This window comes from Homo sapiens, chromosome 10 (genome assembly GCF_000001405.40).
Source record: "Homo sapiens chromosome 10, GRCh38.p14 Primary Assembly".
NCBI lineage: Eukaryota > Metazoa > Chordata > Mammalia > Primates > Hominidae > Homo > Homo sapiens.
The window spans coordinates 33,901,802-33,918,383 of NC_000010.11; the positions used below are offsets into that span (position 1 = coordinate 33,901,802).

At 38.3% G+C, this 16,582-nt stretch overlaps 1 long non-coding RNA gene across 1 annotated transcript; it reads left to right on the forward strand.

Moving 5' to 3' along the window:
- Nucleotides 1-2,329: 2,329 nt before the first annotated feature.
- LINC02629 (long intergenic non-protein coding RNA 2629) lies at nt 2,330-16,003 on the forward strand. The gene is made up of 6 exons (NR_170279.1): nt 2,330-2,589; nt 7,355-7,521; nt 7,614-7,697; nt 8,478-8,612; nt 10,967-11,032; nt 15,743-16,003. It is a non-coding gene; the product is annotated as a long intergenic non-protein coding RNA 2629 (long non-coding RNA).
- Nucleotides 16,004-16,582: the final 579 nt, after the last annotated feature.

Here is a 16,582-nt window from a genome sequence, read left to right on the forward strand (position 1 = left end):
AAGAAAAATCTTCAAAAAACTAAAAATAGAGCTACCATGTGATCCAGCAATCTCATTGTTGGGCATATACCCCAAAGAAAGGAAATTAGTCTATCAAAGAGATACCTGTGCTCCCATGTTTGTTGCAGCACTGTTCACAATAACCAAGATTTGGAAGCAACCTAATTGTTTATGGACATATAGAAACAACAATTAGAAAGGCTGTTTGAATTTGAAGTGTGGATAGACTCAGGTTGCTTCCAAATGTTAGCTATTATGAATGGATAAAGAAAATGTGGTACATATACACAATGGAGTACTATTCAGCCATAAAAAAAGAATGAGATCCTGTCATTTGCAACAACAGGGATGGAACTGGAGATCATTATGTGAAGTGAAATAAGCCAGACACAGAAAGACAAACATTATACATTCTCACTTATTTGTGGGGTCTTAAAGTCAAAACAATTGAACTCATGGACATAGAGAATAGAAGGCTGGTTATCAAAGGCTGGGAAGGGTAGTGGGGATGGGAGCGGGGTGGGTGGTTGATGGTTAACGGGTACAAAAAAAAATTAGAAAGAATGAATAACACCCACTACTTGATAGCACAACACGGTGACTATAGTCAATAATAATTTAATTGTACATTTTAAAACAACTAAAAGAATGTAATTGGATTGTTTGTAACTCAAAGGATAAATGCTTGAGGGGATGGATACCCCATTCTCCATGATGTGATTATTTCACATTGCATGCCCGTATCAAAACATTTCATGTACCCCATAATTATATACACCTACTACTTACCCACAAAAATTAAAAATAAAAAAATTTTTAAAAGAAAAAAGCAAACTTAGTTATGTACATTGGTATGAGAATACACTTCTGTTTACCAGTTGAAGAAGATTAAAGTTTCAGAGTTAATGATACTTAAGCGTCGCATTTGAAATCATTTATAGCAATTATACTTCTAATAAATTGATGGCACATTTTCTTTTCTAATAAATATACATCTAAGATCTTCAGCACTGTAAAACTCTATAGGGTGCCATTTGCACTGATGAAATCATAGATTTGTGTATTTATTAAGACCACTCTGCAGCAGATAGAATTAAAGTGGTTTTATCTTAAACAAACCAAAAACAGCATAATATGACATTTTTCTGAGCTTGGAAAGTAAAGTATCCTGAGTGATTTGTGCCATTTTTTAATTTATGCAGAAGCAAATATTAAATAAATTAAATACATTTCATTTAAAGCCATCAGTATGGGCTATAGAATATACCAAAACATTCTCACTGACATTTATGGTCAGATAGAATATGTGGATTATTTTGTGCTATACTCAACAACAATTAGAAAGGCTGTTTGAATTTTTTAGCCAACGAATTTCCTATCAGGCAGTAAACTTTAAGACTACAGGGACTCAACATTATTGACCATTTATTAAAATGTCACTGTGACTTAGCTTTATGGGTGGCAGAAAACCAAAGCTTTCATTTTCATGAGCTAGTTTAGGCACATGGAGTTCCTATATGGTCTGGGGCAAGTCAGTTTACCCCCATCTAGTCCAGTTTCTTCACCTAAAAAAATTACAGAATCCCTGAGATCTCTTTGATTGTATATTTCATAACATGATGAATTTTATCCACCTATACTTTCAGGAATATATCATTGCATTGCAGTCAAAGACACATCCTTAAAAATCCTTGATATTTTGTGGGTTAAATGACAGCATTTGAAATAGTTGTATTACTATTTTCTTTTTTAAATTGTGACATACAATAAATAACACATAAAGTGTATAATTTGGTAAGTTTGATTTCTGTAAATGCTCATCACCGTAATCAACATAATGAACATTTCCATCACCCGGATAAATTCCTCGTGTCCCTCAGTAGTCCTTCTTTCTTGCCTCTCCCCTCCCCAAATCCCACTCCCCAGGAAAGCACTGATATGCTTTGTTTTGCTGTAGATTATTTTGTGTTCCCTAGAATGTTATATAAACAGAAGCATATATATAAATTTTTTTTGTCTGGCTCCATTCACCCAGTATAGTTACTTTGAGATTCATCCATGCTGTTGTGAATACTGATCACTTATTCCTTTTGATTGTTGAATGGTATTCCACTTTATGAAGATCCCAGAGTTTGTTTATCTAGTCACCTGTTGATGGACATCAGGATGGTTTCCAGTTGGGCGTTGTTACAAATAAAGCTGCTATAAATGTTTGTGTATAAGTCTTTGTGGAGACATAGGTTTGAGTTCTAGGAGTATAGAAACTGGGTCATACTGTAGGTATATCTTTACCTTGAGAACCTGACAGACTCTTTTCCAAAGAAGTTGCATCCTTGTGCATTACCTCCAGCAGGGTATGAGAGTTCCAGTTGCCCTACATCCTTGCCAACATTGGTATCACAAGTTGGTGTTTGTTTTTTTTTTAGATGTTCTAACCAATGTATAATGATATGTCATTGTATTTGTCCGTTTTCACACTGCTGATAAAGACATACCCCAGACTGGGTAATTTATAAAGAAAAAGAGGTTTAATGGACTCACAGTTCCACGTGGCTGAAGAGGCCTCACAGTCATGGCGGAAAGCAAAAGGCACGTCTTACATAGTGACAGACAAGAGAGAATGAGAATCAAGCAAAACGGGATTCCCTTTATAAAACCATCAGATCGCATGAGACTTATTCACTACCACAAGAAGAGTATGGGGGAAACTGCCCCCATGATTCAGTTATTTCCCACCAGGTTGCTCCCACAACACATGGGAATTATGGGAGCTAGAATTCAAGATGAGATTTGGCGGAGGGGAGACACAGTCAAATCGTATCAGTCATTGTGGGTTCAATTTGCATTTCCTTTATGATTAATGATGTTCAGCATTTTTTCATGTGCTTATCTGCCATGCATATATATTCTTCAGAGAAATGTGTATTCAAATCTTTTGCCCATTTTGGTTTTGGCTGTTTGTCTTCTTATAAGTGAGCCTTGGAAATCTCTTTATATATTCTGAATACAAGTTCCTTAGCTGATATGTGATTTGTAAATATTTTCTCCCTGTCGGTGGCTGTCTTTTCTTTCCTTTTACAGTGTCTTTCAAAGAGCACAGTTCTTCGTCATAATGAAATCTAATTTGTCAGACTTTTTTCTTCTATGAATCATGTTTTTGGTGCTGTATGTAAAAAATCTTTGCCCAATCAAACATTACAAAGATTTTTCTTCCTATGTTTTCTTCTAGAAGTTGTATAGTTTTATATTTTATATTTAAGTCTATGATCCATTGTGAGTTCATATTTGTATGTGGTGCAAGGTGGGGATCAGGGTTCATTTTTGCATATATGGTTATCCAATTGTTCCAGTACAATTTATTGAAAAAGCTATTCTTTTCCCACAAAATTGCCTTTGCAACTTTGTCAAAAATTCACTTACATGTATGTGTGAATCCATTTATGGACACTCTATTCTAGGTCTATTTATCCTTGAAATTCTACCAGTTTCTGCTGCCTGTATTTTGGACTCTGTTATTTAGGTATATTAACATTTACAGTGGTTGTTTTCTATAATGAATTGACCCTTTTATCATTATGAAATGACCTTCTTTATCGCTGCTAATATGCTTTGCTCTGAAAACTGCTTTGTGTGATATTAATATAACCACTATAGCTTACTTATGATTAGTGTTAGCATGATGTATTATTTTCCATACTTTTAACCTAATTGTGTCTTTACAATTAAACTGCATTTCTTGCAGGCAGCAGAGAGTGGCTCTTGATTTTATTTTCTTGTGACAACTTCTGCCTTTGAATTTGGGGGTTAGGCCATTGTGATTTAATGTAATTATAGAAATGATTAAGTTATATTTCCTCTTCCGTTTTTCCATTTTCTCTGCCTTTTTGGGGTTGGGTATTTTAAAAATTCCTTCAGTTATTTAAGAAGTATTTGTCAGGCATGGTGGTAGACACTGGAAATACAACAGTGGGTAAAACAGATAAGATACCTGCCTTGTGAGAATTAAATTCTAGTTGAAGAGATAATAACGGGGCCATTAACACTACAGTAAGGTGTGCAAGGAGAAGAATGGACAAAACTCAGGTAAGAAGTTCAGTTGAGGGACTCACCTAGCAAGTTTTTTGTTTCTTATTGCCTTTTTAATTTCTGTTATTTCAATTTGGTTCTTTTTTATTACTTACGTCTTTGTTAAGATTTACGATTCTTTTCATTCCTTTCATGAAAATTAATAATACCTTGTTGAGTCATTTTTATGATGGCTGCTTTAAAATCTTGGTTCTTGATGTGCAGGTGATTTTTTATTATATCCTGGACGTTTTGGCTTTGATATTAGGAGATCCGGGCCCTATTTAGATCTGTGATGACAGCAGTCAGCCTATTTAGATTTAGCACAGCGGTTCTGACCTAATGTTGTGGGGTGTGGTTCTAGTGACAACTTCATTTTCAGAGCTGTTTTGGCTGCTTGCTTTCTCTGGTGCCACCGGGGCTCCCACTAGTCCCTGCTGGTACTGCTTGCAGTGGTGTAGTATAGTTTCCCTAAGCCAGGCTGTCTCGTGCTTCCTAGGAGGAAAAAGGAAATCTCTGACCCAAGGGGACAAATACACTTCCTGGACCAGGTCTTTATAGTTGGGGGATCCCCCTTGTCAGTGCTGCCTGGCCACCTGGTGTCTCTGGGTGGAGGATGGGAGTCTCAAGCCTGGCAAGAAATTACAGTGCTTTCTGGGCCAGGGGCTTACTGCAGTGGGTCTCCCTTCCCAGTGCCTGTTGGTGCTTGGGTTGGGGATGAGTGTCTTAGCCCCAGTGGGGAAGGAGAGTACTTAACCTAGACACTTACTCTTAGCAGGGCCTTCAATCGGTCTCCCTTGCGGGAGCTGCCGAACTTGTTTGTCGTTGCTGGTAGAGTTTGTTTGTTTCCATTGCTGCTGCACAAATTAATGGCGGAGCTTTTGTTCACTCCAAGGAAGAAATGAGCTGATCTGAGCCCCCTTTAGTGGACAGGCCCGGAATCAGAAAATGCCAGGCCTAAGTCCCTTTCTTGTGTTGGATGGGGAGAACGTAAGACACAATGCTGCTGTTTTTCTCTAGTCCAGAGACTCCCCCCAGAGTCCTCCTTCCTCTTCCCATCATGTATAGTTCTCCTTCGATTGCCTCTTACATTATTTCCAGGGTTTATAGTTGTACTTAACAGGGAGTTAAGTGCAATTTAACTGGAGATGGACTTGTACACCATTTCACCTGGATCAGAAATCCCTGGATTGAGTGTATTTTTAATGATTTCATTGACCATTGTGTTTTCTTATTAGCTATAACTCTGTGTGACATTGTTTTAGTAATTGTTTTAGGGTTTATATTGTACATCTTTACCTTATTAGAAACTACCATATATATATATATATATGGTGTATATATATATATATGGTGTGTGTGTGTATATATATATATATATATGGTGTATATATATATATGGTGTATATATATACCATATATATATATTTTTTGTTGTTGTTGTTGTTGTTCTTGAGACGGAGTTTCGCTCTTGTTGCCCAGGCTGGAGTGCAATGGCACGATCTCGGCTCACCACAACCTCTGCCTCCCGGTTTCAAGTGATTCTCCTGCCTCAGCCTCCCGAGGAGCTGGGATTACAGGCATATGCCACCATGCCTGGCTAATTTTGTATATTTTTTAGTAGAGACGGGGTTTCTCCATGTTGGTCAGGCTGGTCTCGAACTCCCGACCTCAGGCGATCCACCTGCCTCAGCCTCCCGAAGTGCTGGGATTACAGGCGGGAGCCACCGCACCCTGCCAAATGTTATTATATTTCATATATAGTACAAGGATCTTACAACAGTATACTTCCATTTCTCCTCCCAGCCTTCTGCTATTTTTGCCATAAATTTTATTTCATATATAGTACAAATAATATATACTCTACAATGCATTGTTATTGCTTTAAGCAGTTAATTATCTTTTCAAGAGATTTAAATAAGAAAAAACTCTTAAATTATCCACATAGTTATCATTTCCTAGGCTCCTTGTCACTCTGTGTAGATATAATTTTCCATCTGGAATTATTTTCTTCTGCTTGAAGGACTTTCTTTAACGTTTCTTATAGTGCAGATGTGTTATCAATAAATTTTTTCAGTTTTGTTTGTCTAAGACTTTATTTTGTCTTCGTCTTTGAAAGATGATGTTTTTCCTGATAAAGAATCCAAGTTGACAGCTTTTGTGTTTGAGAACTTTCTCACTTGCCTTAATTCTGAGGAGAAAGCTACTTTTTTTTTGTTCTGCTGTATATAATGTGTCCTTTGTCTCTGGCTGTTTTCAATATTCTCTGTATTGCTGATTTTAAACGATTTGATTATGACGTGTCTTGATGCAGTTTTCTTCGTGATTCTTGTCTTGCATTTGTTTAAGCTTTGTAGATCTGTTGGTTTCAGATTTCATAAATTTTGGAAATATTTCAGCCATTATTTCTTCAAACCATTTTTCTGTCCTACCCTAATTATGCATATATTAGGTCTCTTAAAAGTTGCTTCATAGCTTACAGATGCTCTTCTTTTTTTTCAGTCTGTTTTCTTTTTGTTTCATTTTGGATCATTTCTATTGCTACGTCTTGAAGCTAACTGATTTTTTCTTCTGCAACATCTAATCTGCTATTAACCACAGAGATTTTTCATCGTTGACATCGTAGGCTTTGTCTCTCAAAATCTGACTTACTTTTTTTAATATTTTCTATGTCTCTACTTAGCACATTTTATCGTTCCTCTAGCTTTTTGATCGTACAAATACAGTTATAATAACTATTTTAATGTCCTTCTTATCTATTAATTTTTTCAACTGTGTCAATTCTGAGTCAGTTTTGATTAATTGATGTTTATCCTTATTTTGTATTGTACTTTTCTGCTTTTTTTTTTTTCATGAACCAGACATTGTGATTCTTACACTGCTGGCTGCTGAATATTTTTGTATTCCTGTCCATTTTGTTTTTTTTTTTTTCTGGTATGTGATAAATTACTTCAAAATACTTTGGTTCTCTTTGATCTTGCTCTTAAGCATTGTTAGATAGGACCAGTGGAGCATTAAGTTCAGGGACAATTTTCCTCCCTACTGAGGCAAAACCCTTCTGAGTATCCTACTTGATAAACCATAAATTGTGAGGTTTCCCACTCTGACTGCTAAGAAAATGGGCATTATTGTAGAACCTGATTGAGCTTTGGGTATATTTCCCACTAATTCCTCTGAGTGATTATTTATCAAGCGTGAGTAGTTTCCTCACTGACATTCATTAACCAGTATTCAGCTAAATACTTGCAGAGGACACCTAGCAGATTTCCCGAGTTTTCTCTCTTTGCAGCTCTCTCCTTTCAGGTACTCCACCATGTGAAATGTAACTACCTTGATCTCCCTGCTCCCTTTTCCTTAATTCAGAGAGACTCCTAGACTCCATGTGGCTTCTTCTGCCTGCATCATGGCCTGGAAACCGTCCACATGATAGCCTAAATCAATCATAGGACTCACCAGGTTTGTTTCCTTGTTTCAGTTATCCTTGCTCTTCATGACCTAGTGGCTTGATATCCAATATCTTGTGAACTTTTTTTTCCAATTTATTGTAGATTCAGTGAGTACATGTGCAGGTTCATTATCAGCATGTATTGCATGATGCTGAGATTTGGAGTACAAATGATCTCATCACCCAGGTACTGAGAATATACCCAATAGGTCATTTTTCAACCCTTGCCCCCTCCCCTCTAGTAGTTCCCAGTGTCTATTGTTGCCATCTTTATGTCCACGAGTACTCAATATTTAGTTCTCACTTATAAGTGAGAACATGTGGTTTTCTGTTTCTGTGTTAATTTGCTTAGGATAACGATCTCCAGCTGCATTCATGTTGCTGCAAAGAACATGATTTCAGGCTGGGCTCAGTGGTTGACGCTTGTAATGCTAGCACTTTGGGAGGCCAAGGAGGGTGGATCACTTGAGGTCAGGAGTTCGAAACCAGCCTGGCCAACATGGTGAAACCCTGTCTCTACTAAAAATACAAAAAAGTTAGCCAGGTGTGGTGGTGGGTGCCTGAAATCCCAGCTACTCAGGAGGCTGAGGCAGGAGAATCACTTGAACCCGGGAGGCAGCAGTTAAAGTGAGCAGAGATCACAAACTGCACTCCAGAGTGAAACTCTGTCTCAAAAAACAAACAAAAACAAAAACGTGATTTCATTCCTTTTTATTCCTTTTCATGGCTGTGTAGCATTTCCTGGTATACATATCCCACATTTTCTTTATCCAGTCTACCATTATGAGCACATAGATTGACGCCATGTCTTTGCTATCATGAATAGTACTGTAATGAATATGCGAGTCCAAGTTTCTTTTTGATAGAAAGATTTATTTTCTTTTCTTTTAGACGTATACCCAGTAATGAGATTGCTGGGTCAACCAGTAGTTCTGTTTTAAGTTCCTTTTTTTTTTTTTTCCAACAGGGTCTTGCTCTGTCACCCAGCCTGGAGTGCAATGGCGTGATCCGCTCACAGCGACCTCTGCCTCCTGGGTTCAGGCAATTCTCCTGCCTCAGCCTCTTGAGTACCTAGGATTACAGGCGCACACCACCACGACCGGTAAATTTTTGTATTTTTAGTAGAGACAGGGTTTCACCATGTTGGCCAGGCTGGTCTCGAACTCCTGATCTCATGATCCACCCGCCTTGGCCTCCCAAAGTGCTGGGATTATAGGCATGAGCCACCGCACCCGGCCTTCTGTTTTAAGTTATTTGAGGAATCTTCAAACTGCTTTCCACAGTTGCTGAACTAATTAACATTCCCGTCAGCAGTGTATAAGCATTCCTTTTTCTCACCAGTGTCCATTGTTTTTTGACTTTTTATAATAGTCACCCTGACTAGTGTGAGATGGTATCTCATTGTGGTTTTGATTATCATTTCTCTGACAATTAGTGGTAGTGAGCATTTTTTCATATGTGTGTTGGCTGCTTGTGTGTCTTCTTTTGAGAAGTGTTTGTTCATGTCTTTTGCCTGTATGTTGTTGTTGTTTTTTGTTTTATTTAATTTTATTTTTATTTTAAGTTCTGGGTCCATGTGCAGGATGTGCAGGTTTGTTACATAGGTAAACATGTGCTATGGTGGTTTGCTACACCTTTCAACCTATCGCCTAAGTATTAAGCCCAGCATGCATTAGCTATTTTTCCTAATGCTCTCCTTTCCCTGACCCACCAAAAGGCCCTAATGTGTGTTGTTCCCCTCTCTGTGTCCATGTGTTCTCATTGTTCAGCTCCCACTTATTAGTGAGAACATGTGGTGTTTGGTTTTCCGCTCCTGCATTAGTTTGCTGAGGATAATGTCTTCCAGCTCCATCCATGTCCCTGCAAACGGCATGATCTCATTTCTTTTTATGACTGCATAGTATTCCATGGTGTATCTGTACCACAATTTCTTTATTCAGTCCATCATTGAGAAACTATTAACAGAGTAAAGAGACAACCTACAGAATGGGAGAAAAAATTCACAAACTGTGCAGCCGACAAAGGTCTAATATCCAGAATCTTTAAGAAACTTAAATAATTGAACAAGCAAAAGACAAATACTCCCTTTTTTAATTAATGCATTTGCATCCAGGTAAGACTAAGAAGGAGCAATAGAGATGGACAGAAGTGGATAGATTTTAGAGACATTTGGGAGGTAGGATCAACAGTAGTTGGTGACTAAAGGATTGTGCAGGAGGAGGGGCAGAGGAGGGAAAAAGAGGTGCTGACGTGTGCTGCCAGGTTGTGCTGACACTACTTTCTGACATAGCAAACCTAATTGTTTAAGTTTTTTAAAGATTATGGATATCAGACCTTTGTCAGATGCATAGTTTGTGAATATATCCCCCCCTTCTGTAGGTTATCTGTTTACCCCATTGATAGTTTCTTTTGCTGTGCAGAAGCCCTTTAGTTTAATTAGGTCCCACTTGTCAGTTTTTGTTTTTGTTGCAATTGCTTTTGAGAACATAGTCATAAATTCTTTCCCAAGGCCATTGTCTGGAATGATGTTTCCTAGGTTTCTTTTAGGACTCGTATAGTTTGAAGTCTTACATTTAAATCTTTAATCCATCTTAGATTAATTTTTGTATATAGTGAAAGTTAGAGGGCCAATTTCATTCTTCTGCATATGGCCAGCCAGCTATTCCAGCACCAAATATTGAATAGGAAGTCCTTTTCACATTGCTTTTGTCGACTTTGTCAAAGATCAGATGGCTGTAGGTGTGTGACTTTATTTCTGGGTTCTCTATTCTGTTCTATTGGTCTATGTGTCTGTTTTCGTACTAGTACCATGCTGTTTTAGTTACTGTAGCCTTACAGTATAATATGAAGTCAGGGAATGTGATGCCTCCAGCTGTTCTTTTTGGTTAGAATTGCTTTGGCCATTTGGAATCTTTTTTGATTCCATATGAATTTAAGAATGCTTTTTTTCTAGTTCTGCAAAAAATGACGTTGGTAGTTTGATAGGAATAGTATTAAATCTGTAGGTTGCTTTGGGCAGTAAGATCATTTTAATGATATTGTTTCTTCCAATGCATGAGCACAGAATGTTTTTCCATTTGTTTGTTCCATCTATGATTCTTTGAGCAGTGGTTTGTAGTTGTAGAGATCTTTCACCTCTGTGGCTAGATGTATTCCTAGGTTCTTGTGGGGGATTTTTTTGTAGCTATTGTAAATGGGATTGCATTCTTGATGTGGCTCTCAGCTTGAATCTTATTGGTGTATAGAAATGCTACTGATTATTCTACAGTGATTTTTGTATCCTCAAACTTTACTGATGTTGTTTATCAGTTCCAGGAGGCTTTTGGCAGAAGTGAACTCTTGTTTTGTATATTTTTTTTTCTAGTCTTCCAGTTTTACAGGTAAGAGGATGTATCTAGTACCTGTTAATTTCTTTTGGCCTGAAATGGAAATTTGACTCTTATATCCTTTATATAGAAAAGTGACCTGGAAGGAACAGGCGTAAACATGGAGGATCCAGTTGGGCTTTGCATTTGCATCCAGGTAAGAGGAGGAAGGAGCAGTAGAGATGGACAGAAGTGGATAGTTTTGAGAGATATTTGGGAGGTAGGATCAATAGTAGTTGGTGACCAGTGGATTGTGCAGGAGGAGGGGCAAGGGAGGGAGAAAAAAGTGTTGCTGGGTGCATGGTGACACTACTCCCTGACATAGCAAACTCTGAAAGGGAAGCTGCTGTGCGTTGAGGTAAGATCAAGCTGGGATATGTCCAACTTGATTTGGATGGGTCAAGTGTTTATGGAGTGATAGAGACTTATTAAAAGGTAATCTTGAAGATGAAATAGTAAGAAACAACATAGGCTGTAAAGCATAGAAAAAGAAAAAAGCTGTGATCACGCTTTTTTATGGTAATTATGGATCATTGCTGCTCTGTTTTGTTAGAGGTATTTATTTTATTTGACACAGAAACATGGATGTTTCACTGACCACTGCTGACTGCTTTTGATATGTCAATAAAAAATTTAAATGGCCTCAACATCTGACTTTAGAATTAGGAATGTTCAAGATTTTTATTAATGGAGTAAAGGTTTCATAATGAATATCCTATGAGTCACCATCTTTACGTATTTAAAAATTCTTGATTTGCACCATCAGGCTCTTATGTTACAAGCTGTCACATCCTATCAAGAAGACACTACTGCTAATGTAGATGGCAGAATTATATCAGCGGTCCCCAGCCTTTTTGGCACCAGGGACTGCTTTAAAGGAAGGTGGTTTTGCCATGGATTGGGGTGGAGCGATGGTTTCAGGATGATTCAAGCTTATTACACTTATTGTGCACTTTATTTCTATTATTATTATATTGTAATATATCATGAAATAATTATGCAATTCACCATAATGTAGAACCAGTGGAAGCCCTGAGCTTGTTTCCCTGCAACTAGACGGTCCCATCTGGGGGTGATGGAAGACAATGAAAGATCCTCAGGCATTAGATTCTCATAAGGAGCAGGAAACCTAGATCCCTCGCATGCACAGTTCACAATAGGGTTTGCACTCCGATGAGAATCTAATGCCATTGCTGATCTGACAGGAGGTGGAGCTCAGGTGGTAATACTAGTGATAGGCAGTGGCTGTAACTACAGATGAAGCTTCACTTGCTCACAGGTCACTCACCTCCTGCTGTGCTACCCAGTTCCTATCAGGCCATGGACAGCTACCAGTCTGTGGCTGGGGATGGGGACCTCTGAAGTATATTCAGAGAAGTCAAAGCATTCAGCCAGATTGACAAAGCAAGGTATAAGAATTTACTTTGGGGGCTGAGCATGGTGGCTCATGCCTGTAATCCCAGCACTTTGGGAGGCTGAGGCAGGTGGATCACTTGAGGTCAGGAGTTCCAGACCATCCTGGCCAACATGGTGAAACCCCATCTGTACTGAAAAATACAAAAGTTAACTGGGTGTGGTGGTGGCCATCTGTAATCCCAGCTACTCGAGAGGCTGAGCCAGGAGAATAGCTTGAACCTGGGAGGCAGAGGTTGTAGTAAGCCTAGATCACACCACTGTACTCCAGCCTGGGCAACAGAGCAAGACTCTGTCTCAAAAAAATAATAATAATAAACATAAATAATTTACTTCAGCATTCAGAGAAGATGCTGAGCTTGGACATAACACAATCAAAGAGAAAAAAGCCTCATGGTATAAACTGAGAATTTTTAAATTTGAAAAATAACTGTGCAAGAAATTTACTATAAAATATTTATTCCATTAATAATCATAATAATAACTTTGAAATTCCTAATTCTAAATACAGCAGTTGAAACCTTTTTTTTTTCTATTGACATGTTAAAAGCAGACAAAATTGTTTCAGGCTGAGTCTAAATGATCTGATTATGAGCCGATATCAAAAGTGTAGACAGTATTAAGCAGGAATGGCAGACACCTGATGAACTCACCGTCATGTTTAATCCTGTGCTGAATTTTGAGATATAAGATCACAGTTTAAATACTTGTCTAACAAAAGAGCATCAGTCTTATGACATTGATCTTTATTTGTCTAAAACACACAGAACGCTCTCTCCTGTCAATAAGCATAGCTGTCAGATGCTCTGTGCACAGCTACTAAACACTCTCAAGATTGCAAGTTGAGGCATGGACATTAAGTATACATTTAATCAGCTGCGGAAGGTGAGAAGGTGCATTACACTGACTAATTTCAATAGTAACTCTAATGCACTCTTATTTATATTTGGTGTCTGGTAGATTCATTTAGTCACTGATTGCAAGGCATAGTGGCAAATATGGAGCAGGTTTACCTCTCTTTAAAGATAGTGTACATTTTAAAAATAAATCTATATTTTCAAAATATGTTGTCGGGAGTGTTAATTGGGGGAACATCTTTGGAGGGCAATTTGGCAATACCTATCAAAATGGAAATGTATATTTCCTTGAACCCAGAAATTGAGTCTAATATTTTATCCTATAGAAAGTCTTACATGTGTGCACAAAAACATATGGACAGAGATAGTCATTGCAGAATGGAGGAACACAGTAAAATATTGAAAATGGCTTAAATATTTATCAATAGGGAACTGGTTGAATAAATTTTGGTATCCCCATACAGTTGAATAAGGTACAGCTATGAAAATAAGAAAACACTACTTCTACATATACTGATGTGGAATATTTTCTTAGATGTGTAGATATATGAAGAAAACAAAACACAGAACATTGTATATATTTTACTATTTGTGTAAAAGATGAGGGATGAGTGTAGATGCTATATGTATATGTTCTTCTCTGAAAGGGTACATAAGAAATGCATACTCGGCTGGTTGCAGTGACTCATGTCTATCATCTCAGCACTTTGGGAGGCCAAGTTGGGAGAATCATTAGAGGCCAGGAATTTGAGGCCAGCCTGAGCAACATAGCAAGACCCTGTCTCAAAAAAAAAAACCCAGACATGGTAGCATGCACTTGTAGTCCCAGCTACTCAGGAGACTAAGGCAGGAGGATCGCTTGAGCCTGGGAGCTGAAGGCTGCAATGATCTATGATCATGCCACCGCACTCCAGCCTGGGTGACATGCTGAGACCCTGTGTCAAAAAAAAAAAAAAAATTCATAATCATGGTCATCTCTGGAAAGGAGAATTAGAAATGGAAAACAAGGGGTAAAGGATGGGGGAAAGGTTTACTTTTCATATTATCCTTTATTTCCTTTGAATATTTTACTATGTAATATATAATCTATTCAAAAATTAAAAATTAAAAATTCATCAAATATTAAAATTATATCAAACTCCATTATAAATTTCTAGTCAAAAAATATTTGACTAGAAGATGGAATAGAGGTACTTAAGAATGTACCAAACCTTGTTAAAATTGCATATTTAAAGGAAATTAGAAGTTTCTGGTAAAACTAATGATCATCAGAAAGAAGTCAGAAATATAGAAATAAAGGTGCTGGGATGCTTTCATTGCTTGGCACATTAATTTCAAATTCTCAGAGAAAAATAATGACAGCTTTCCTGAACAGAAGACAAGCCTGAAAAGTCACTTAGTTCCTAGCAGTCCCTCCTCTTTCTCTTTGGTTGTTCAGAAGCTGCTGTTACCCAGCACTTACTAGGCTTTTATAAATAACAGGTTGGTCTGGCCAACGGGGGAAGAAGAATCAGGAAAATGGGAAAAGAAACCATTTAAAATGAAATTGTACATGAACAAAGGAGCATGTTTATGGGGATTTGCATCTACAAACAGTTCCTTTTAACATTCTGGAACAAAAATATTTTGTCAAATTTTTCTATAATGAATTGTAAATATCTATCAAGAATGACCTTCATTGTACATTACTTGTAAGTTTATGGAAGAACATAGAGCGTAAACAAGAGCATACAATAACATAGATCATAGGTAGTCACCACCTGAGCCTCTCTGCAATGCTTTGTAGCCCAGGGAAAGAACATCTAGGTCATAGTGAATATCTCTTTGTAAATTGTGTTTGAAGATATAAAATCTAAAATTATAGTCACTGTTTTGCATCTATAAATGTCAGGAACTTTGTTAACACTTCATTTTCTATCCTAAGAAGTACTTTTTAATGGTCCTGGTTCAAAGCCTTCATGCATGCATACAGGCAGAATTTCTTTTTTTATTAGACACAAAGAACTCATGTTTTGTTTTCCCTTTCTGGCTTAAAAATGTTTTAACATCCCAGCACTTTGGGTGGCTGAGGTTGGGGGAATAGCTCAAAGCCAGGAGTTTGAGACCAGCCTGGGCAACATAGTGAGAATTATGTCTCTACAAAGAATTTTAAAATTACCCAGGGTACCAGGAGTCCCAGCTACTCAGGAAGCTAAGGCAGGAGGATCGCTTGAGCCCAGGAGGTCAAGGCTGCAGTGAGCCGTGACAGTGCCACTGCACTCAAGCCCGAGCAACAGAGCAAGACCCTGCCTCAAAAAAAAATTTTGTTTTAACAATGATAAGCTGGTGGGTTAAAGGGCACTCATGAGGACAGTAGCCTTCAGTTAAAGAAGCAAATCACCAGGTTGAGGACATACTTCAAATATCAAATTAGCCGGTTATGAATTGTCTGTGAGAAAAGTCACTTTTTAGGTGAAATGATTGGGTTCATCAAAGTTTAATCATATTCCACAAGTTGTTCGATGTTTTCTTGGGCAGATTCCACTCTTGCAGAACTGTACTGACTCTAAATACAGCTTATGAGGGGATTAAAAGCATATGCTCTCTCACACTCACAGGTGGTCGCATTTTAAAGAACTGAACCGATGCCAAATACAGACAGCAATTTTTATGGGAGAGACAAACAGAGAGAAGAAAAGGAAAACCAAAAGACAATAAAAAGACGGGATACATCAGAGGATAAAAGGAGCTCATTTCCTGTAGAGGAACAAACTCCTTTCCTGTCTTCCTGTCTCACTCCCCCAACCAGGACAGCTCCTCTATCTACAGCAGGCCCTAAGTCACACCTCCATTGACCTAATAAAAACTGGTTCCTATCACTTCTCTCTCCATTTGACTGCGTCTCTGGCATTCTACACTATCTTGAACAATTTTTTCATCCACCTTGTAGTCATTTATTGAATGCCTCCATAGGCTTTAAGACAGAAGATGAGTCAAGGATGGTTTATCATCAAGGTCACAATTGAGTAAATGATTTCTACCTCTTGACTTTGAAGCTTGAGCCCAACAAGGCAGACCAGACTTCAACATCTTCCACCTTCACACAAACTTCCTACTGAAACAGGAAATTTCCCCTGACCCCTTTGTGGGACTTGTGACGTGGGTGGCTTGTTTACTTATCCCACAGCTCCCAACCCCTCACGGGAAGGGGACCACACATGTGACCGGGCGCAGGGGCCGGGATGAATGCTTCTGGGTGCCAGCAAGAGCAGAACTCTGTGCAGCCCTGCAGCAGCATCTGGAGGGTACCCTTGACCCCTGGACCCCCAGAGGGTGTGTGTTACAGTGTGCTCTTTTAGCTTTGCCATCCGTGGACAGCTTAGGTGTTTAACAGCTCAGTGTGACAACCCTCTGTATCTCGAGCTCTTGTTCGGTGTCCAGGAAGAATTGGGTCACAC